The 21,229-nt window shown below is 54.6% G+C and overlaps 2 protein-coding genes across 6 annotated transcripts in view, besides 3 other annotated features; one reads left to right on the forward strand and one right to left on the reverse strand.

Annotated features, from left to right (window-relative positions):
* B4GALNT3 (beta-1,4-N-acetyl-galactosaminyltransferase 3) overlaps window positions 1-12,873 on the forward strand; it is a 103,571-nt gene extending 90,698 nt beyond the window's left edge. The window contains exons 11-20 of the mRNA NM_173593.4: window positions 286-395; window positions 1,427-1,527; window positions 1,831-1,892; window positions 2,558-3,347; window positions 5,911-6,230; window positions 6,972-7,125; window positions 7,380-7,452; window positions 7,872-8,025; window positions 8,659-8,785; window positions 10,707-12,873. Of these exons, the coding sequence (NP_775864.3) occupies window positions 286-395; window positions 1,427-1,527; window positions 1,831-1,892; window positions 2,558-3,347; window positions 5,911-6,230; window positions 6,972-7,125; window positions 7,380-7,452; window positions 7,872-8,025; window positions 8,659-8,785; window positions 10,707-10,815 (2,000 nt within the window). The 3' untranslated portion in view covers window positions 10,816-12,873. The remainder of the gene's footprint in view (window positions 1-285; window positions 396-1,426; window positions 1,528-1,830; window positions 1,893-2,557; window positions 3,348-5,910; window positions 6,231-6,971; window positions 7,126-7,379; window positions 7,453-7,871; window positions 8,026-8,658; window positions 8,786-10,706) is intronic.
* Window positions 12,113-12,614: an enhancer, noted in NCBI's record as "H3K4me1 hESC enhancer chr12:671915-672416 (GRCh37/hg19 assembly coordinates)". NCBI's record gives its function as "activates a minimal SCP1, AML or CMV promoter by ChIP-STARR-seq in primed H9 embryonic stem cells {active_cell/tissue: H9 hESC(primed)}" and the evidence as "EXISTENCE:reporter gene assay evidence [ECO:0000049][PMID:30033119]".
* Window positions 12,874-13,659: 786 nt separating the features above from the next.
* The window catches only part of NINJ2 (ninjurin 2), a 99,150-nt gene continuing 91,580 nt past the window's right edge, over window positions 13,660-21,229 (reverse strand). For 4 of the 5 annotated variants that reach the window (NM_016533.6, NM_001294346.2, NM_001367996.1 and 1 more), the window contains 3 exons: window positions 15,314-15,542; window positions 14,581-14,765; window positions 13,660-14,045 (listed from right to left, as the gene is read on the reverse strand). In NM_016533.6, the coding sequence (NP_057617.3) occupies window positions 14,599-14,765; window positions 15,314-15,542 (396 nt within the window). In that variant the 3' untranslated portion in view covers window positions 13,660-14,045; window positions 14,581-14,598. Of the gene's footprint in view, window positions 14,046-14,580; window positions 14,766-14,968; window positions 15,543-21,229 lie in introns of all 5 variants that reach the window. The other variant, NR_160428.1, reaches the window with a different exon arrangement.
* Window positions 14,779-15,280: an enhancer, noted in NCBI's record as "H3K4me1 hESC enhancer chr12:674581-675082 (GRCh37/hg19 assembly coordinates)". NCBI's record gives its function as "activates a minimal SCP1, AML or CMV promoter by ChIP-STARR-seq in naive H9 embryonic stem cells {active_cell/tissue: H9 hESC(naive)}" and the evidence as "EXISTENCE:reporter gene assay evidence [ECO:0000049][PMID:30033119]".
* Window positions 15,281-15,780: an enhancer, noted in NCBI's record as "H3K4me1 hESC enhancer chr12:675083-675582 (GRCh37/hg19 assembly coordinates)". NCBI's record gives its function as "activates a minimal SCP1, AML or CMV promoter by ChIP-STARR-seq in naive H9 embryonic stem cells {active_cell/tissue: H9 hESC(naive)}" and the evidence as "EXISTENCE:reporter gene assay evidence [ECO:0000049][PMID:30033119]".

Raw genomic sequence — 21,229 nt, forward strand, 5'->3', positions numbered from 1 at the left:
AGAAGTTTCTAGACCTTATTGAGGCTATCCCTGCACAGTGACTCTAAGATCAAACGGTGCCTTGTACCTGGGGCTGTGTGCTGAGTCCTCTGCTGCCAGGGTGCTCCTCAAATGGCCCTGCTCCAGGTGCGTGGGGCAGCCTCCAGCTGGCAGCCTCAGCCACAGACGTCGGCAGAACACAGCTGCCGCTTGCGAATACAGAAAGGGCCCTGCTCAGGGCAGAGGACTTCAGCCCCAGTTTCGTGCTCACCCTCACCCTCACTCCTCCTCCTCCACTGTCCTCAGTGCCTCTGATCCCCAAGTCGCATCTCCGCCACGTCCTGCCTGACTGTCCCTACAAACCCAGCTATCTGGTGGATGGGCTTCCTCTGCAGCGCTACCAGGGACTCCGGTTTGTAAGTCTTGGGCCTGGGTCATGGAGAGCAGGGCTGGCAGAGGGATTGCTGCCTGTGACTGGGATGGGAGGTGGTGAGGCTGACTTTCCCATCTTCCCAACATCCCATCCCAGCAGACAGGACGTCCTCACAGGTCCCTGGGCTGGGAAGAACTTGCACTCCCAGATGGACCGCCCTGAATAGACTGTCCAGCAGAGCCTGCACGTGGGTGCTCTGCCTCAGGGCCCCCCAACACACACCAACTCAGCCCAGCCCCGTGATGATATCAGGTGGCCTGGCTGAGGCTTCTTAAGCTCCCTGCTCCAAGGGCCACACAACCCTACCCTGCCTGGTCAGTCCCGCCAGCTAGTGAGCCAGCAGGACTTACTAAACCCAGAGACCAGGCACTGGGGGAAAAAGAGCTATGGAGGGGAAGTTAGCTTTAAAGAACCCAGAACCCATGCGGAAGCCAGACAGGCAGCGTGGCCACTCTCCTGTGCATCCAGATCTAGAGATGATTATAAGGAAGAGCTGGAGGGCAGAAGAAAGAGGTCAGGAGGCATCACCAGGTCAGAGAATGGCTGGGGTGTAATTGAGAAGTTCTTTGGTGGTGGTGACCACGAGCTATGTTTAAGGGGGCAAAGGAAGCAGTGAAGTAAATAGGAAGAGGGGTTGTTCTAGGGCTGTGGGAGGTTGCAGGTAAAGGTTCAGAGGTTTCAGGAGAGGATCAGGTGGCAGAGGGAGGAAGGAGTGGTTTTGGCTGAAGCTGAGGGACGGGAGCTGGTTCAGGAGGGGAGATGTGGACCAGGGGCTTGACTCAGGGTTGCATTTGGTCCATAGGGCCTGGGATCACTAGCATAACAAGGGGAATGAGAGCCCCATCTGCATCACCACGTTTCATTCGGCGCTCAGAGCAACCCTTCTCTCCCTGCCAAGGGCGGGTCCCTAGCAGCCCTATGTGATCCCAGCCAGGGGCAGGCTTAACCCTGGCTGGCTGATTTCTTACCAAGATCTCACTCTCTTACTCCTGCTGCTGATTTTTCCACTTCCAGGTTCATCTGTCTTTTGTTTACCCCAATGACTATACCCGCCTGAGCCACATGGAGACCCACAATAAATGTTTCTACCAGGAAAACGCCTACTACCAAGACCGGTGAGAGACACTGAGTGGGGCAGGAAGGTGACCTTGCAGAGGGCTCTGCGGGAGCCAGGAGAGCTGCCTGGACCAGGGTGATGGTGGCACCCCAGCCCAAAGTCTTTGCTCTTGCTCTTCCTGAGTACTACACACACACACACACACACACACACACACACACACACACACACCCGCTCACCAGCCTCCTTCCTCCACTCTAGTCTGGGGCAAAACGTCAGACTCCTGCTGAGACTTCCAGCAGAGCCAGGGCTGAGCCCGCCATGCACCGGGTGCCAATGCACACCTCCCTTCCTCCTGCAGGTTCAGCTTTCAGGAGTACATCAAGATTGACCAGCCTGAGAAGCAGGGGCTGGAGCAGCCAGGTACAGAGTGACAGCTGAGGCTTCCAGGTCAGGCTGAGAGGGGCGACCATGGTCTGTTTCCAGGGGATGTTCAGACCGTGCCAGCCCCGCCCCTGAGGAGCTCAAGATCCAAATCACGTGACCTCTCCCTTCACACCCAAGGGAGTGGAGAGCATGACTCCTGCCTTTTCCATATCCAGGCACATGTGGAAAATGACACTATTTTTAGCAGCATGCTGGGGTCAGCTGGAGGAGAGTGAGAGCCCGGGGGAGGTTACTTGGACTGCTGGAGGGGCTTGCTGTCCCTGGCGCACCATTTGGGAGGTTCTGGTTTAGAGAAGCACTGTCTTCTGGGGCCTTTCTTGGGGGATTAGGGCGTGGCTGGGACCATCTGCTGGGTCCCTCAGGTGCTATGCACCTGCCGGGCATGTGATGCCGTTTATCTCACTCAGTCTTCACAAACCCATGAGAGATGCAGTATTATTCCCTTTATGCAGATGAAGAAACTGGGGTTAATTGAGGTTGAGTACCTTGCCCAGGGTCACACAGTAAGCGATAGAACCTGGATTCAACCCCAGTCTGGAGCCCCATGGTGCGTCACACGTATGATCATCCTCTGTCTTGTATGTCTTGTTTGGAAAGGGTTGGAAACTCTTGACATGAGGAATGGTTGTTATTAATAGCAGGTTTTGAGGAAAACCTTCTAGAAGAGTCCCAGTATGGGGAAGTGGCAGAGGAGACCCCTGCCTCCAACAACCAGAATGCCAGGATGCTTGAGGGAAGACAGACACCTGCCTCCACCCTGGAGCAAGATGCCACTGACTACCGCCTCCGAAGCCTGCGGAAACTCCTGGCTCAGCCCCGGGAGGGCCTGCTGGCCCCCTTCTCCAAGCGGAACTCCACAGCGTCCTTCCCAGGGAGGACCAGCCACATTCCAGTGCAGCAGCCAGAGAAGAGGAAGCAAAAACCCAGCCCTGAGCCCAGCCAAGATTCACCTCATTCCGACAAGTGGCCTCCTGGGCACCCTGTGAAGAACCTGCCTCAGATGAGGGGGCCCAGGCCCAGGCCCGCTGGTGACAGCCCCAGGAAGACTCAGTGGCTGAACCAGGTGGAGTCGTACATCGCAGAGCAGAGACGGGGTGACAGGATGCGGCCTCAGGCCCCTGGAAGGGGCTGGCATGGGGAGGAGGAAGTGGTGGCGGCCGCAGGCCAGGAAGGACAAGTGGAGGGAGAGGAAGAGGGGGAAGAAGAGGAGGAGGAAGAGGATATGAGTGAGGTGTTCGAGTACGTACCTGTGTTTGACCCGGTAGTAAACTGGGACCAGACCTTCAGTGCCCGGAATCTCGACTTCCAAGCCCTGAGGACTGACTGGATCGATCTGAGCTGTAACACATCTGGCAACCTGCTGCTTCCAGAGCAGGAAGCTCTGGAGGTCACGCGAGTCTTCTTGAAGAAGCTCAACCAGAGGAGCCGGGGGTAAGGTAAAGGGCTCTCCTGGGGCCAGGGACTGGGGCACGTGGCAGCCAGCTGGCCTGGAAGGCAGGGGCCTAAGGGCTGGTAGTGGGTTCCCCCAGCCGCGGAAATAGCTGGAACTTTGCCCCCGACTCAGGCTCCTGGGAAGGACAAGTGCCCGGGGCCCCTGTCCCTGGAGAGGATCTTGACCAGGCAGGTGTTTGTCCCGCCATTAGGCAAGGTTCTGAAATCCCTGGGTGCCTGGCCCAGTACGTGTGTTGAGGACTGGAAGGACTCAGTAGATGAGGTCCCCTCCTCCGAGGAAAGAGCTAGTAAATAGACAAACAGGCAAAACAGAGGCTAGAAAAATACAAATTAAGACCCTGCATGTGGGCTGGAAGGGTTAGGGCGTGATGCATGACTGGAGTTCTTTGTGTTTTCATTCATCCATTCATTCAACCAGTCAACATTTTTTACGATAAAATTTATATAACATTAAAATCACCATTTTAAGGTGTACCTTTCAGTGGTTTTAAAAGTATATTTACAGGCTGGGCGCGGTGGCTCACGCCTGTAATCCCAGCACTTTGGGAGGCCGAGGCGGGCGGATCACGAGGTCAGGAGATCGAGACCATCCTGGCTAACACGGTGAAACCCCGTCTCTACTAAAAATACAAAAAATTAGCCAGGCATAGTGGCGGGCGCCTGTAGTCCCAGCTACTCGGGAGGCTGAGGCAGGAGAATGGCGTGAACCCGGGAGGCGGAGCTTGCAGTGAGCTGAGATTGCGCCACTGCACTCCAGCCTGGGCGACAGAGCAAGACTCCGTCTCAAAAAAAAAAAAAAAAAAAAAAAAAAAAGTATATTTACAGTGTTGTGCAAGCATCACCATTGTCAAATTCCAGAACGTTTTCATCATCTTTGAAACAAATTATACTGGCCAGACGCAGTGGCTCACGCCTCTAATCCCAACACTTTGGGAGACCGGGGTAGGTGGATCACTTGAGGTCAGGAGTTTGAGACCAGCTTGACCAACACAGTGAAACCCCATCTCTAATAAAAATACAAAAATTAGCAGGGCTTGATGGCATGCACCTGTATCCCCAGCTACTTGGGAGGCTGAAGCAGGAGAATCACTTGAACCCGGGAGGTGGAGGTTGTAGTGAGCAGAGGTCGCACCATTGCACTCCAGCCTGGGCGACAGAGTGAGACTCTGTCTCAAAAAAAAAGAAAAAGAAAGAAAAAAAAAAAGAAACCGTATGTGTTAGTGGTTACTTCCCATTCCTCCTCCTACCCCCAGTAGTGTCTGGCAATAACTACTTTCCTTTCTAGCTCTGTGGATTTTCCTATTCCGGACATCTTATGCAAATGGAACCATGTAATGTGTGGCCTTTATATCGGGCTTTTTGCAGAATATTCACTTAGCACAAGTTTCATTCGTGTTGTAGAATCTATTAAACACTTCATTCCTCGATATTGCTGAGTAATATTCTATTGTGTGGATATACCACATTTTTCCATTCATCCGTTGAAGGACATGTGGGTTGTTTCTACTTTTTGACTATTACAAATAAAATGCTGCAATGAACATTCATGCACAAGCTTTTATGTGAACATACTTTCAGTTGTCTTGGGTATATATCTAGGAGTAGAACTTCTGGGTCATATGGTAACTCTGTTTAGCATGTTGAGGAGCTGCCACTCTGCTTTTTAAATCAACTGCATCATTTCACATTCCCATCAGCAGGGTATGAAGATTCCAATTTTTCTACATCCTTATCAACACTTGTTACTTTTCATTTCATTGTGTTTTATTTATTTTTATTTTTATTTATTTTTTTTTTTGAGACGGAGTCTCGCTCTGTCGCCCAGGCTGGAGTGCAGTGGCGCGATCTCGACTCATGCAAGCTCCGCCTCCCGGGTTCACGCCATTCTCCTGCCTCAGCCTCCTGAGTAGCTGGAACTACAGGTGCCCACCACCACACCTGGCTAATTTTTTATATTTTTAGTAGAGACAGGGTTTCACCATATTAGCCAGGCTGGTCTTGATCTCCTGACCTTGTGATCCACCTGCCTTGGCCTCCCAAAATGCTGGGATTACAGGTGTGAGCCACTGCACCTGGCATTGTGTTTTGTTTTAAATAGCCATCCTGGTGAGTGTGAAATGGTATCACACTGTGGTTTTGATTTTTATTTCTCTAGTGACTAATGATTTTGAGCCAACCAATTGACATCTGTCTTATAACTCATTTTGTCTTATGGAATGTTGATTCGACCGTTTTTATTGAGGGTCAGTTTCTCAGGGAACCTCTTCAGTGTGACCCCTCTTATTCAGCTCATGTACTTAGAATCTTGGAGCTGTAAAAGACCTTCAGGATCATCACAGCTCAACAGGTACATTTTCAAAGAGGGAGGCAGCGAACCCTAGAGAGATTGCGAATCTTGCCTGAGGCCCTATAGCCAGCCAGTGGCAAAGCTAGGACAAAAACCAGGGTCTCCCAACAACTAGCTTTGCAGGCTTCTCACACACCGTGCTACCCTCCCAGTGTGGAAAGGAACCACTCAGCCTCCCCACACTTTCTGCCATAGGAGGTACCAGCTACAGCGCATTGTGAACGTGGAAAAGCGTCAGGACCAGCTACGTGGGGGTCGCTACCTCCTGGAGCTTGAACTGTTGGAACAAGGCCAGCGCGTGGTGCGGCTCTCGGAGTATGTGTCTGCACGAGGCTGGCAGGGCATCGATCCAGCTGGTGGGGAGGAGGTCGAGGCCCGGAACCTGCAAGGCCTGGTCTGGGACCCACACAACCGTAGGAGACAGGTCCTGAATACCCGGGCCCAAGAGCCCAAGCTGTGCTGGCCTCAGGGTTTCTCCTGGAGTCACCGAGCCGTGGTCCACTTCGTCGTGCCTGGTGAGCCTCAAGCTGAGCCTCGGCATTCTCAGGGGCGGGGTCCTCACACTGTCAGGAGCACCCACATCTGCTTGCACTGATTTGATCCCATAAGCACTTCTGAGAAAGACCACCTTATAGTTGAGGAAACTGAGGCTCACAAAAGGAAAGTCACTGGTTTAAGGTTATGTGGCTAGTAAATGTTGCCGCTAAAAACAAACACTGCCTCATAGGCCAGTGCTCTTTCTTTCGTACTAGGTTTCAGGATTGGGTGTGATAACTGGGGTTGCTAACACTGGGGATGATCATTGGTCTGGGGAAGTAAGACGGGCAGCGTACTTAATGAAGTGATGAGCAGGGTTTTATATGAGAAGGAGGAACACACAACAGGCAGAAGTGTAACAACAGAGGTAGGATGATGGGGATAGGACGACGATACTAAGAGGGACAGATAACAGGGTTTCACTAGTAGAGCGTGGCAGGGCTACTGACAATGAGCCCCAGCCAAGGCCTTCTCGTGGGTCCCCTGCCTGGGAGGAGGGAACGTGGGGAGCAGGATGCAGAGGCCCCCTTAACTGGTGAGCACTCCCTCTGCCTCATGTCTCTGTGCTGCACTGCTAATGGTTTTGCAGAGTTGCACTGTCCCCTCAGCCGAGGTCCGATGGGCACTCCTGACTCACCTGGGAGCTGGGGGTGGAGGCGCTCATCCGCTCATCTTTGCCTTGTCTGTGTTTCCTTCTCCTGCCTGACCCCCTGGGGTAGTGAAGAACCAGGCACGCTGGGTACAGCAATTCATCAAAGACATGGAAAACCTGTTCCAGGTCACCGGTGACCCACACTTCAACATCGTCATCACTGACTATAGCAGTGAGGACATGGATGTTGAGATGGCACTGAAGAGGTCCAAGCTGCGGAGGTGAGGGGGACCACCAGCCAGGGGGTGGCATGGGCCACGTCCATCCTAAAGTCCTAGGGCTGCTGGGTCCAGGGTAGAGCCAGGAGTCCTGCCCAGCCTTCCTGATTCCTAGTCTCCAACTTTTCCCAGAGGGCTCACCTGCCCATAATCCCATCCCAGGAGCACACATCATCTCTCTTCTATGCCTGCCAACTTCCTCCAGGGGACCACCGCAGCTGAGTCCTGATACGCAGCCCTCTCTCCCCTTCCTGCAGCTACCAGTACGTGAAGCTAAGTGGAAACTTTGAACGCTCAGCTGGACTTCAGGCTGGCATAGACCTCGTGAAGGTAAAGGGCCTGGATGGGGCCTGCGAGATGGAATTCAAGGCTGGTTAAGAGGTAGAGAGACATTTGGGGTAAATGAGGTGGTGAGCCCCTCAGGGAGGACGGGAATGAGGACACAGGAGGTCCTCTCTGCTGTGCTGCAGGCCAGTGCTAGGGTGGGACCAGCAAATCACAGTGGAGCATTTGCCCAGTTGTCCAGGGTCCTTGGAGCCTATAAAGAGTGGGGAGGAGTCAGAATTCACTCTGATGGTTAAGACCTGTGCTCCAATGTTCAGCACTGTGGAACTCTGCCCAGCAGCTGGTTTTGTGGGAGTTTGTGAATCACTCCAATAGGGAAGACTCCGAGGCTTCTCCTAGACGGCGACCTGACCTCCTAGCTCTGGTCTGCAGGGTCTGCTGACCCTGCCCACATCTGTCCCCAGGACCCGCACAGCATCATCTTCCTCTGTGACCTCCACATCCACTTCCCAGCTGGAGTCATCGATGCCATTCGGAAGCACTGTGTGGAGGGAAAGATGGCCTTTGCCCCCATGGTGATGAGGCTGCATTGTGGGGCCACCCCCCAGTGGCCTGAGGGTGAGCCCTGCTCAGACTGGGGAGGGAGGAAAGACTTCTCTGATCTTGGCTCTTAACTCCAGAGCTGGGAACAGTCATATCTATGAGCGTCAGCATCCTCCTCCCCTGCCCCACCCTGCCCTCCTGTGGCCTTCACTCCCCGGAAAACTCACCAGACAAGGTCCCCTTGGGCTGAGCTGACAGCCACAGCAGCAGGTGCAGCAGTGCACACCTCCTGCGCCGTCTTCTCCTTGATTCATTCATCACACACTTACTAAGCACTGCTGTGTGCCAGATGCTCTGCCCTGTGGGGATTCAAAGATGGGAAAGGTAGCCTCCCTGCCTGTGGAAAGGGAAACGGACATGTAAACTGACACACAGCTGTGTCTTCTGTGGCTGCCGCTGTCCGATCCATTTGTAGGGTTGTTATCAGCCCATGGGCACAGCCTGGTAGCACTGCTGAGCCCTGAACCTTAGTTAGGGGTCTTTCCTCCAAAACAGGCAAAGTACTTGTTCAGCTAAGACAGTTTTCAGCCTCCCTCAACCCCAGCCTCTGACTTTCAGAAGAGCCTCTAGGCACACAGCCTGGAAGCCTCCTTCCTTCCTCCTCCTGGCCTCTGGCTCATCTCACCCGAAGCTCCTGTCTGTCCACAGGCTACTGGGAGGTGAATGGGTTCGGGCTGCTTGGCATCTACAAGTCTGACCTGGACAGGATTGGGGGCATGAACACCAAGGAGTTCCGAGACCGCTGGGGCGGGGAAGACTGGGAGCTGCTGGACAGGTGACTGGGAAGAGGAGGGCATCCACGAGGCCTGGGAATTCCATGGCGCTCCAGGCAGGGAGCCAGGCTACAGCAGCCTAGCTGTCCCCCTCGGCCGCAGAGTCCCAAAGCACAGTAAAGAGCACTGGACTCGGAGGACGCCCTCAAATCACCGGCCTCGCTGGGACTCAGTTTCTCTATTAGAGGGGTGTGACTCGCCCTCTGTCTGTGTCACAGGGTTGGTGTGAAAATTAACATGCCTGGTACACCGTGTACCAGGTACACCAAGCTGTGTAGACATAAACCATGATGTTCTCAGCACCAAGCAGGGCACCGTGGGAGAGACTGCATCCTCCCCAGCCCGAGGGTAGTGCGCCTCCCGTCAGCTGCCGAGCGGGGAGCCCAGAGTTGTGGGAATGGATAAGTAGACCTGGCAAAGGTCAGGAAAGACTTTGGGGCCAGCAGAAGAGACAGTGTAGACCACTGAAGGGCAAGAGGACATCCAGGAGGTGCCGGGTCATGAGACACCAAGGGACCTGGGGGTTTGGAGCAGGAGGAAAGGGTCAATGAGATGAAAAGCCTCAGAGAAGAACACAGTACAAGCTGCTGCCTTGGCAGGTGGACAAGGAGAGCAAGATTGGGCAGGGACACCAGGCCATGGGTGGTGAGGAGGCGGAGGCTGTTCCGTGTGAGGTTCCTCTTTCAAGAAATGTGCTGCCAAGAGAAGGGGCAGAGAGAGGATGGTGCCTTGAGATCTGAGCCTATGGTGAGGGAGCAAAGGAGAGGGGAGGGTACCCTTCAGAAGGGCATAAGCGCTGTAACAGCGTCCACAGGAGGTGGACAGGGCAAGGTCAGGAGCACTGGGGGCGGGACCTCGACACGAAGACACGCTCACTTCTTCCCGAGAGGCAGGACAAAATGCATCCACCAGTCACTGGGTCCCTATACATGGCCGGCCATCCACATCCGTTACCTCGTTTATTTCTCCCCAGACCTCAGTGAGGTCGGCATCATGATCTCCATTTTCCAGATGAGAAGACTGAGTCTTGAAGAGAAGTTAATAACTTGCCCCAAATCTCACTCACTTAAGCGTTAGAGGCTTGAAAACTAGGTCTATTGGTGTTTTTTCCCGTTGAGGGAAGAAAGAAAAGGAAGGTGACACACTAAGAGAATTCGAGTGAAAAGGGGGAAGGTAAAGGAACGTAGATAACTGGGAGCTCATAAAAAGGGTCTGAGATCAAAGGAGCCCCCAGGGCAGCTGGAAGCCTTGATTTGGGAAGCCGGGTCCAGCAGTCACCTCCACCTTGATCTCTGTGCTGGGCTTTTGCTGCCATGCACGGCTCCTGTACAGCCCTGAACCTCCTGCCTCCTCGGAGGCTCAGGCATCCAGTTCGGCCACTCTCAGCCCTGCCAGAAGTGCAGCCTCCCTGTGAGAGGGACACCCTGCAGGCTGCACATGCACAAAAGGCCTGGGGAGGGCCTAGGCGCCAGGTGTCTCAGTGCAGCAGCCCTGCCTTCCTCCGTCTATGACGTGTGCCCTGGAGGCTGGGCGCCAGTTATGGGGCACTCAGAGTGTGCCAGGAGCCGTGCTGAGCCCTCAGCATCCATCCTTCTCGTCTTCCCCACCTCTGATGTGTATATAGTATGTCTACTCTAATATTAGATAGATAGAATTCTATATCACACATTATCCTCTCATTACACGTATGTGATAATCGTCCTCCTAGAGATGAGCAGACAGGCTCTGAAAGAAGGCGTGACATACCCAGTCATGCAGCTGGGATCCAAACCCAGGCTGCCTGGCTTCAAAGCCCACAGCCGTCCACTGCACCTGCCTTCCCTGCCCCGTGGGGAGCGAACAGAGGGTCTGTGGTCGATGGGGAGGGGCCCCCCAGCTGCCTTCTGTGCTTCTGTTGGCTCATCTGTGTTTCTCCTCCTCCAGGATACTCCAAGCGGGCCTGGACGTGGAGCGTCTCTCCCTCAGGAATTTCTTCCATCATTTCCATTCCAAGCGAGGCATGTGGAGCCGTCGCCAGATGAAGACGCTGTAGCCGGAGGGTGTCCGCGGGGCCCAGCACTCCCCGCTCTGGACTAGCAGTGGCTCCCCAGGGCCCTGCTACTGTTCAGGGATGGGGAGTGGGGTGACGGCTGGACCCCAAGAGGCCTCGAAGCTGACGGCCCACTCCACCTGGAGCTGTCCCCTCACAGAGGCAGGTTCCGGGGCTCCTGTCTCTGCCTCCTGGGCCTTCAGAAGGGAGGACTTTGAGAGAGAGGCCAGGAGGGACCACTTGCTCAGTCGAGAACGGGAAGAGCTCCTGAGAAGGACGGGTCAGGAAGGAGAGATCTGACTGAGCGACACCATCCTCATCCATGAAGGTGCACGCCCACATCCCCCAAGCGCTCCTCACGCCAAGCGCTGACCACCAGACCCTCTTCTAGTGGACATATTTTATTGGGGGGCGGGGATTTTAAAAACAGAAAACCGAAACTGCTGTCCAGAGCGGGGGTGAGGTTGTGCACTGAGGGACTGTCCCCACGTGCAGGCCTCCCGCCCACTCCTATGTCCCTTGGGCGTTGTCCCTGGCCGCGGGACTGGTCCCACGTGGGGCAGGTCTCTGCTCCACCCCAGGCTCGTGCCTTCCAGAGACACACATCTCCCAGTAGCCACCAAACAGCTGGCCACTGATTAGGGCATTAACTTCCTCCGGATGGCTCACGTCAGACCAGAAGCACAGAACGGGCTGTTTCTGGTGCTTGGGCATTGGGAGGTGGGGAGCTGGCGGGCAGGGGGCTTGCCACTCCCTGGCACTGGACATTGAGGCCTGCAGAACAGGCAGGGTGATGAAGGCAGGGGAGAGAAGCCCTTTCCCTTACCGGCGTGCCTGTGGGTAAGGCCTCCCGAGAGGACATGGAGAAGAGGTAAAGAGGATGTGGACATATCTGTCAATTTCCTTAGGCAAGAAGCGGGTGGGGGCTGGACAGAAAGGGACGAAAAGGGAAGTGGAAGCTGTGAGCCTCACAGTCCAGCTCCACTGCAGACCTGCCCTTCTGCAGGGAGAGCCCTGGCCACCCGGCCTTGAGTGGAAGAAGAGGAAAGGGTGTACGGGGGCAAAACCCTGGACAGGGAGCAGGATAAGAAGGGGGCGGGATGAGAGGTTTGGGGAGGTGAGGACATTGCCCTGAGATATCCCCTGGAGGCAGGGAGAGGAGTGGGGGCAGGAGGAACTGAAGAGGGGGGCAGTTTCAGGGAAAATAGCCCTTAGCCTTTTTAGTCGATGCCACCCTTTCTGTCACCTGGAGACCTTGTACTTCTCTTGCACTAATAACCCCGGTGCTTTTGTGGCTGGGGGTTTTTCTGTTGCTGCTGCTGCCTCCACCACTGCTGTGAATTCACCCATGGTGCATTGGACACTGGATCTTGAACTCCAGAGTCTGTTTAGGGAGGTGAGCACAGGGCTGGGGGAGGTGCGGCGGGGCCCAGAAGACCAGGCCACTGAGCCCGCGCTCCAGGCTGTGACGGTCCAAACCACGGCACTGGAGCTGCAGGGTCTGCCTAGTGGGCTCTGCATTCCCCGAGAGCACGAGTTTGGCACATGGGAGAATGGAGCCCGTGGAGAACCTTCTGGGGGGTCGGGGAGAATCCCTGCCTCCCTTTAAGGAATCATGAAGGACAGAGACTTTTGAGATTGTGGCTTAGGAAGGCCATACCTGCTCCCTGGGCTGTGGCTTTTTCTGGTCCCTGCTGAGGCCGACTGGCCCCTGGAGAAGGATGGTGGGGCATAGGCTAGGGCTGCAGTTGGCCAGTGGGGCTGCCAGTTTCTTTCTGGGACCACTCTCGTCCTCGGGCATTGCACTGGAAGGCTGGAACCAGCCCAAACTGCCCACCTGCTTCACTTCCAATGACTAGGAGCCAGCCCAGCCTCCTGCCCTGCCCACACCCCTGCGCCCTGGGCCAGTGCCTTGCGTTTGATGTTACCTCCACACCATCTGCCTTAAGAGGAAGGGCCGGGCAAGGCCCCTACTCCCTAGAGAAATGTCTTGGGTAGGAGAGGGTGTGGGATGGTGGGAGGGGAAGCATTAAATACAGCAACTTCTTAGAAAAAAAAAAAGGTGCTTGTCTTTTCCTGTTGCTCTTCACGGATGTAAAGGATTGGGCTGAGGGGCCCAGGTGGGCGTGCCAAGGACCCTCCCACACCACCCTCCACCCTTACCACAAGTGTGATGCCTGCTGTGTGTGAGATGGCCTTCTCTGCACTGCGGTTTACTCAGGAAGAAGACAACATTGTTCCTGTCTGAGCAGCTCACCGTGTAATAGACTAGGCATTTTCTGTTCAGCAGATTAATGGAGGTTGGTGGTTTTAGCCGAGGAAAGCTATGGATACGCTGGGTGGAGAAGGCTAGATATAGGGCCAGAACGGTTTGGTGAGCAGTGGAGAGAAGCCAACGAGTGGCTGCTTCTAAACTGGCAGACCTTCTAAAAATCATTTCTGTTTCTGAGTTGGCAATGCTTTGCTAATGCTTTACAGATTTACCTTCCTCGTTATATTTGGCCCAGGCAAAGATCAAAATGAGTTTGCAGTCCTTAAACACATGCCTAAGGGAAGCTGAGACTGAAAGCCAGAATAGCTTACAGCAGGTTCGTGGAGAAGATTGTGCATATGTGCATCCACCTGCAATGGACTAATCTACAGTTCATGGGGCAGATGACGATAAGCGCAAGACATCTGGGCCAGGAACATTGGCTCCGAGCAGAACCCACAGAGGAGGAAGTAATTTAAAAGCCTTCCCACCCTCCAGGTCTGGGGTTTGCTCTCTTGAGCCCTCTCCAAGGCACAGATGGAGACCAGCCTGGATGCCTGAGCCTGCAGGACTAGACAAGTAAGTGGACTCAAGAGTGGATTTGAAGAAACCTTTATAGATATAGATTCCATTTTACAAGAAGGGAAAATTGAGGCCTGGAGCAGAAGGAAGCAGTGGGGTAGAGTCAGAACCAGCATCCTTAAGCCGGGCAGACTTGGCCTTAGACAGACATGCCTTACTTAGGTCCAGCAGATGCTACCAGGAAGGTATGGCTGGCAGTACCTGCGTCTGAGCTCAGGACTTCAGACCAAGATGGAAGTCCCTTAGACCAATAACATAAAAATCACTTTTTAACTCAGGTGCTGTGGGTAGGGAGCAAGGGCAGCTATACTGTCCTTTCAGAAGCTCTCCTGGGCTGTGGAAAGTGCCCACGAGCCTGGCAGATCACGGAGGAAGGAGGCAGAAGTTCCAGGCCCAGAACCTGTTGAGGAAGCAGAGAAGAGGCAATGAGGATGGCAGGCCAGATCAATGCCCCTCAACCTTCAGCATGCCCAGGATGCACCTGGCCACGTTACTCATGCACGTGCCTGTAGCACGTGCTCGAGCAGAGCCTGAGATTCTGCATTTCCAGCAAGTTCCTGGGTGGTTTGTGGATGCTGCTGACCCATGGACCACAGTCAGTAGCAAGAGCTGCTAGACAATGGCAGGGAGAAATTCCCCATCTCCACCTTTCCTCTTGCCGGAGGGGCAGAGTCAACCACTAATGGCATCGCCTCCACCCTGTCCCAGACCGTGGGAAAACCTGAGCCTGAGAGCAGAGAGCCATTAACACAGCAGTGGGGCTTTGTGCAAGCCTCGCTGAGGCCAGGCTCTTGCAGATCCTCTCCTTGCTCTCGGAGCTACAGGCCTTCCCCCTTTGTTTGGCAAGGGATCTGTTTCTTGCCCCAAAGCCCCAGAGGAGAGAGAAGGGCCACCTGGGGAGTCCCTGGAGCTGGGGTTCCTCCATCCTCCCTCACCTGGGTCCCAGGCTGCATTCAGAGAGGATTCCTTGAGGCCCTGGCAGCCAGGAACCCTGTTTTATGTGCCCCGAAGGCTGTAATGAAAACATTGATGACCACAGTGAAGAAGACCAAGATGGTGGCTGCGTTGTTGAGCTGGTTGAGTCGCCACTGCTTTTCTACCTCATTCAGGTTCAGCCGTGCTGCAGGGAAGTGGAGTGGGGGGAAAGGGTCAGAGACGGGGCCACAGCACGGAGCTGCCCCCACAACACCCACCAGAGTTTGGAGAGAGGGGCCCTTCAGAAACCCATGTGGCAGAAATCAAGGGAGGTGGTCGTCATCGGGCTGAGATGCCTCTGCCCTCGCCAACCAGTACAATGGGGCACCCTAGTGTGCTTCATCCCACCAGGATTTGGGAACTTAAGCTGGGTCCTGTAAGCGTGGGGACGAGTGCTCATGGAGAAGCGGTGAGCGAGTGAGTGAGTTAGCAGTTAGCGAGGTGCTGGCGCAGTCATTCAGCAGGTACTGCGGAGGGTCTGCTCCATGGGATACCAGGAGACAGGACAGGGCGCCTGCCCTCGCGGGGTGGAAGTTGGTCTTTGGGCCTCTGTTAGCGGAGGGCTCACTGCAGGTCAGCGTGTGGTTGCAAAGCTGCCTGTGCCAATGCAGGGTGGCCCAGGGGACACGTGGGGCCTTTCTGCCAGCCACGGGTGCCGAGGCAGAAGGTCTGACTGCAGGCTGGGCTCCTCACCAATGACCACGAGCAGGACACCGATGACCACCTGCAGGAGCAGAGAGAGGCTGATGAGGGTGACCAGGGTGGTGTAGTAGTGAGAGGATGGTCCCTGCTCCAGCACCGCCTTCAGCCGCATGGCGTTGGACATGAACAGGGCCACGTCCAGCATGCTCTCCGCCACGCTCTTCTTGGTGGCGTAATGGTTCAGGTTGATGGGCTGGCTCCTGGGGTCGGAGCTTCCAGGCTGTAGGGGAGAAAGCACAGACTTACCAAGGGGAGCTCTGGAAGGGAAGCAGTTGAGAGGTGGGAGAGAGGAGAGAGGTTTTAAAGCTCTTTCCAATCCAGATGGGAAGCTCAGGGCAAATGACACCCTTAGTTTCATGGCCTGATAAAATGAAGGGTTGGACGAGAAAACCCATAAGGACCTCTGCACTCTGAAATGACATTCTGTTGCAGTTGATACTTCCTGGAGAGTCACCCCTTCCCTCACACCTTCACACATCTGGCTGGAGAAAGCCGGGAGGGTTCTCTGCTGCTGGTAAAATGCACCTTCCTCACCCTATTCACTATTTTACCTGGGCCAGGCCTCAGCTTTGGGCTGTGTTCTTTTCCTCTGAGAGGAAAGCACCTGAGAAGACAATAAAAAGAGCTTGGAGGCTTGGGTGAAATAGAGAAAGGCACCTCCTCTCGCATAATGCTGTGGCCCCCAAGGCAGGGTGCACAGCTCAGCAGCTGATCATCGGCTGGATTTCCAACCCTCAGGAGCACTGGAGCTGCCGCCCTGCTCAGGCACACACGCTGTCAGACACAGGCTCTCAGCATACACATGCATGCATGCATGAGTGTATACACACAGTAATGCATACTAGTTAAACACTCACATCATTTTAATTATTACTTTTGGCTAGGATTTATTGAAGCATAATTTACTAAAGCTTCTCCAGAAGCCACTAACTCCAAAAGACAGAATCACAATACAGGGCATATGCTGTGGGCCTCTGGGTTGGGCCAAGAATTTCAGACTGGGCGCCATGACCAAGGGCAATCTGCAGTCACTCAAGAGTACTTGGAAGATTGATTTAGCAGTGGTGCTTGGAACAGACTGGGCCAGGAAGGGCTAGAAGCAGGGAGAGTCATTTAAAAGTTATAGTATTGATTTAGGATCAGGGTGAAAAGGAACTGAAGTGGAGCAAGGTGAGACAGGAAGGAATGGAGGACTCTGAAGGATGCTACGGCCTGGAGGTAGGGAAGATGACCCAGCAGATCACCATGACAGGACAGATACCTGCAGAGTGGGGAGAGACGGATGGATTGAAGGATGCTATGGCCTGGAGGTAGGGAAGATGACCCAGCAGATCACCACGACAGGACAGATACCTGCTGCGTGGGGACAGATGGATGGATAGATGGATGCGTGCCTATATATGCACAGTGATGCATACCAGTTAAACACTCGTAATTTGTTTTTAATTTTTTTGGCTAGGATTTATTGAAGCATAATTTACATTTGATTTTGTTTTGAAGTATAAAATAAAGCTTCATGGATGAAGGGATGGATGGATGGATGGAGAGATTGGTGGGTGGATGGATGGATGCGTGGATGATTGGATAGGCAGGTCTCAGAGGGTCTGGAATGTTCCTTGTACTTCGTGCAGCCCCAGCAAGTCACTTCACTTCTCTGTACCTCAGGGATTTACACAGAGGACAGTTGATTTACACATAGGCTAACTGATTTACCTATCTATCAGAACCTTTGGATTCTATGAGCCCTTAGGATACCCCGAAATGAGGCTGGGTGCAGTGGCTCATGCCCGTAACTCCAGCACTTTGAGAGGCCAAGGCAGGGGGATCATTTGAGGTCAGGAGTTTGAGACTAGCCTGGCCAACATGGCAAAATCCCGTCTCTACTAAAAATACAAAAAAATCAGCTGGGTATGGTGTCACACGCCTGTAATCCCAGCTACTCAGGAGGCTGAGGCAGGAGAATCACTTGAACCAGGAGGCAGAGGTTGCAGTGAGCAGAGATCGCACCATTGCACTCTAGCCTGGGTGGCAGAGTAAGACTCTTGTCTCAAAACAAAAACAAAAACAAAACTCTGAAATGCAGTAGTCTCCAGACTTTCTTGATAGTGTAATCTCAGCATTAAAAACTGTTTTGGCCATGCATCCTCAATATATGTACATTCTTCCATTATCAACTATACATATTTTTATTGGACTAATTATATATATAGTAAAATATGCAAAAGTAGAAACATTTGAAAGGATTACATAAAATTCAATATAAATAGAAGTTTAATTTTCTTATCCTAAAATATGGTCTTGGGCACTCGTCTTTGGAGATCCAGCTCTAATCCACATGCCTGGCTACAGATTGGACCAATCCTCTCCTAGGCCAACAGAAGGGAGCCTCTCTTCCCCAGTCCTTCTCCTAACGTTTGCCTTCAAAACTCAGCCCCACGTCTCCACCCTGCTCTTCTCACTTCCTTTCCAAGCTCCTGGCCCTTTGCTCTGTTTGCCAGGAGGGTGCACACACACAGACACATTCAAGAGGCACAGGGTGGTCATGGGTGCTAACAGCACCTGCTCTGATGGAATCCACCCTGGCAGCCTGTGCCCCGCAGGCTGCCCCTCTCTGACTCTGTGGACCAGTCATTGGAGGATCAAACATATAGGAGTGGCTCTTTCACTCTGACCACACTCCAGGCCATCAGCTTTCTACACGGGGCAGTTCCCTGCACCTGGGTTGTTCATTATTGAGATTCCGAGTGTCCTCAACTTCTGGACGGGGCAGGACTCACAGAGGGTAATCAGGAGTGTGCACTTTGGCCAGTGGAGCAATTTAAACACTTTCTCTGGGAGAGTAGAATGGAGACCAGCGGGTAGCATTCATTCAATAGATTGACTGTACATGCCAGGCGGTGCTTGGGGCTGTGAGGACACCCCCCCCCCCCCGCCCCCCGGGTAAGCACTGGGCCACAGGCTGCTCACAACAGGCCCTGGCAAACTCCTTTTGACAGCCACCAAAATCAGGCTGGGGCCCAGGGCCCACAGAAATAAGAAAAAAGGCCATAGGCACGAAAGGAATGGAGTGCTCACTATCTCTCCCATCTTCCTTCGTGTTTGATTTTGCTGGGGCCGGGGTTTCAGCTGGTGCTGGGGGCAGCCAGTGAGGTTGGAGGAGGTAGGGATGGAGGGTAAATGAGGACCTGCATGGACTTGGGAGGCCACACACGGCGTTCAGGGCCTTTGGAAATCCAGTTCAAGCAAGGCTGGCTTGTCTAGGGCCAGCTGGCATGGTTGGTTAGGGCCAGGGATCCCAGGGCCAACACTTCACAAAGGCCCATGGTCGCCGTCAGCCCCAAGGCTGCAACCTGTGGTCTTAGCCCATTTGGTGAAGGTTTGTCCTCGGTCTCCAAGAGCACTCATTAGGCAAGAGAGTCTCACCCCCTGCACCCAAATTCAAAGTGTCTCTGCCCAGGTTCAACTGTGCCCCCTGGCCTCCCTGCCCCATGGCTGTGCCACCCCTCCTGTCTCTTCCCCATCCTCCAGTTTGTGCAGTAGCAGCAAGCTTTGCCCTTTCTCCTCCTTCCTGGTCTAGCTCAGAGGGAGACAGACCCCCTTCCCCCCAAATGTATCGTTAACAGTGGACAAAACCTTAAACCCAAACCTCTAGTGGCATGTGTTGAGCACTGACCAAATAGTGGGGGAAGGGGTGGCAGGGGGTGGCAGGGGTGAGTACACGGGCAGCACGGAGGTCTTCCCAACCTCTATGGAAGGTATTGCCATTTGTAAGTTTTAACAGAGCTGGTTGGCTTTTGTTGTTACATTAATCTGAGAGCCATTGCTTCACAGAGGACGTGAGGCTCGCAGTGTGCTTAGGGGGTGCGCCTCATCCTTTCCTCGCTAAATGCGGGGCCGACTCGGGCCTGCCTTTCACTGCGGGTGCTGGGCGGGATCAGGGTGTCCCCGCCTGCTCCAGAGTGTCCACACGGTGGCGCGCGCGGTCCAGAGACGTGACTTGGGCGCCGCGGCTGCCGGGGGGCGTTTCCACCCCGAGGAACCCACGCGCAGGACGGGATTAATGGGAAACCTGGACCCCTCCGAGGCCCAGGACGGGAGCCTCGCCCGCAAGTCTGGATGGGCCGAACTAAAACCCACCAAACGCGTGCGTCAAGCCAGAGTTCGAGAATCAACCGAAGCTGAAATGGAGCCAGCGTGGGGTGGGGGGACCCAGAAGGGAGGGGCCTCCAGCACAACCTGCAGCCGAGGGGACGGCGGGCAGAAGGGCCGGCAGTGAGGCCCTGGCGAAGGTGCCTGGAAAGGGGTCCTCTCATTGCAGCATCTTTAAAAGCAGGGACCGGGCTTTTCTAATCCTCGTGGGCCAGTTTAGGTGCAGCCCTGCTCTGCGGCAGAGGGATGGATGGAATGACCTGAGGGCCCTCCCTTCTAGCGGGAGGAGAGGATCAGATAAAGTCCTAAATCCTGCAGGGGGTCATCCTTTTCGCCCACAGCCCAGGGACTGGGAGCAACTCCACAGGGGTCAGGGTGACAGAGGAGTGGGGAGCGCAGCAGGGTGGCCCCCGCTCCCGCTCAGAGGAGCTGGCCCTTTAAGGCCAGGCCCAGGCGGGTCGGGAACAGAGACCCGGGAATGTGGGCTGGACTGGGGAGCAGAGCCACCCAGCATGAGTCATTCCCGTTTCGCCGGACTCTTCGCCGCTGGCTCTCGCTTGCCGCCCTCCCCTGGCCCTGGCCCTGGCCTCTGCGCCCTCCCTGCAGAGCTGGTCCGGGTGGGCTGGCGGCCTCCACCCGCCACAAGCGCACAGGGCTCTGCCCACTCCCCGCCCCTTTTCTGCTGATCCTCGAGGAGCAGGGGACCGGTGGGCTAGGACTGCTGGTTGCTGGGCCCAGCTCTGCCTCTGGGCTTGGAACTTTGGTGCTGAGTTTCCACATCTATAAAACTGGAGGAAAATCCCATCTCTGGAGGGCAGAGGCCATGGACAGCAGAACGACACTTTGCTCCTTCACAGAAGGAAGGACAGAATCCAAGCGGTTCCCATTTTCCCAGGCTGAGATCCCTCTCTCAATGAGGCTGGCTCTCGGTATCTTCCTCAGGTCTCATTCTGCCCCGCCCCACTTGCCCCTCCCCTGCCACTCAAGGGCGGCAGGACACTGACCCAAGACTCATAGCTTTGGGCTCCCAGAGTCCCTGTTCAAGGCGCGGTTGCCTGTGGGAAAGGCTGCCCATCAAAATCTGGCCAACCAATGACACCTGGACAGACGGGGAGTTTGGGGCGGCATGAAGCTGGAGCGCGGCCAGTGCAGGGAAGGTGGGAGTAGATCCAGAGTTTGATCTGGACGCCCTTGGGCATCTGGGCAACAAGAGGACGTGGGTTTGATGATTGGCATGGGATGAGGCAGGGGGGTGGGGGACACCAGAGACCCAGCGGTTTGCCCCATTCCTGGGCCTGCCTGGCAGACGTGGGTTTGGTGATTGGCATGGGATGAGGCAGGGGGGTGGGGGACACCACAGACCCAGCGGTTTGCCCCATTCCTGGGCCTGCCCGGCACAGTCATTACCCTCCCTCTTCCGCGCCCTCCTCTCTCGTTCCAGCTCAGACTTCCCTGTCACCTAGGCCTCTTGCCAAGTCCCAGCTCCTAAGGCTGGTGCGATTCCATCCCTTGAAGTCAAGGATTGCTTCATTGTTCTGCCAGACAGCCCTTTATCCCTTAATCCTTGTTGGCCTATATTTTTGTTTATTTACAGGACTTAGGTTGGATAGGAAAGGAATGCCTTTTTTAACAGAAAAGTAAACATGTTTTTCATTGTTTATCGACTTTATGGTCAGTGGGGACCATAAGCTCCAACAGATCATTCTGCTCTTTCTTGGAAACAAGATTACAGGGCTGTTCTCCCAGAGGGCCATGGAG

The sequence above is a fragment of the Homo sapiens genome, chromosome 12 (assembly GCF_000001405.40).
Source record: "Homo sapiens chromosome 12, GRCh38.p14 Primary Assembly".
NCBI lineage: Eukaryota > Metazoa > Chordata > Mammalia > Primates > Hominidae > Homo > Homo sapiens.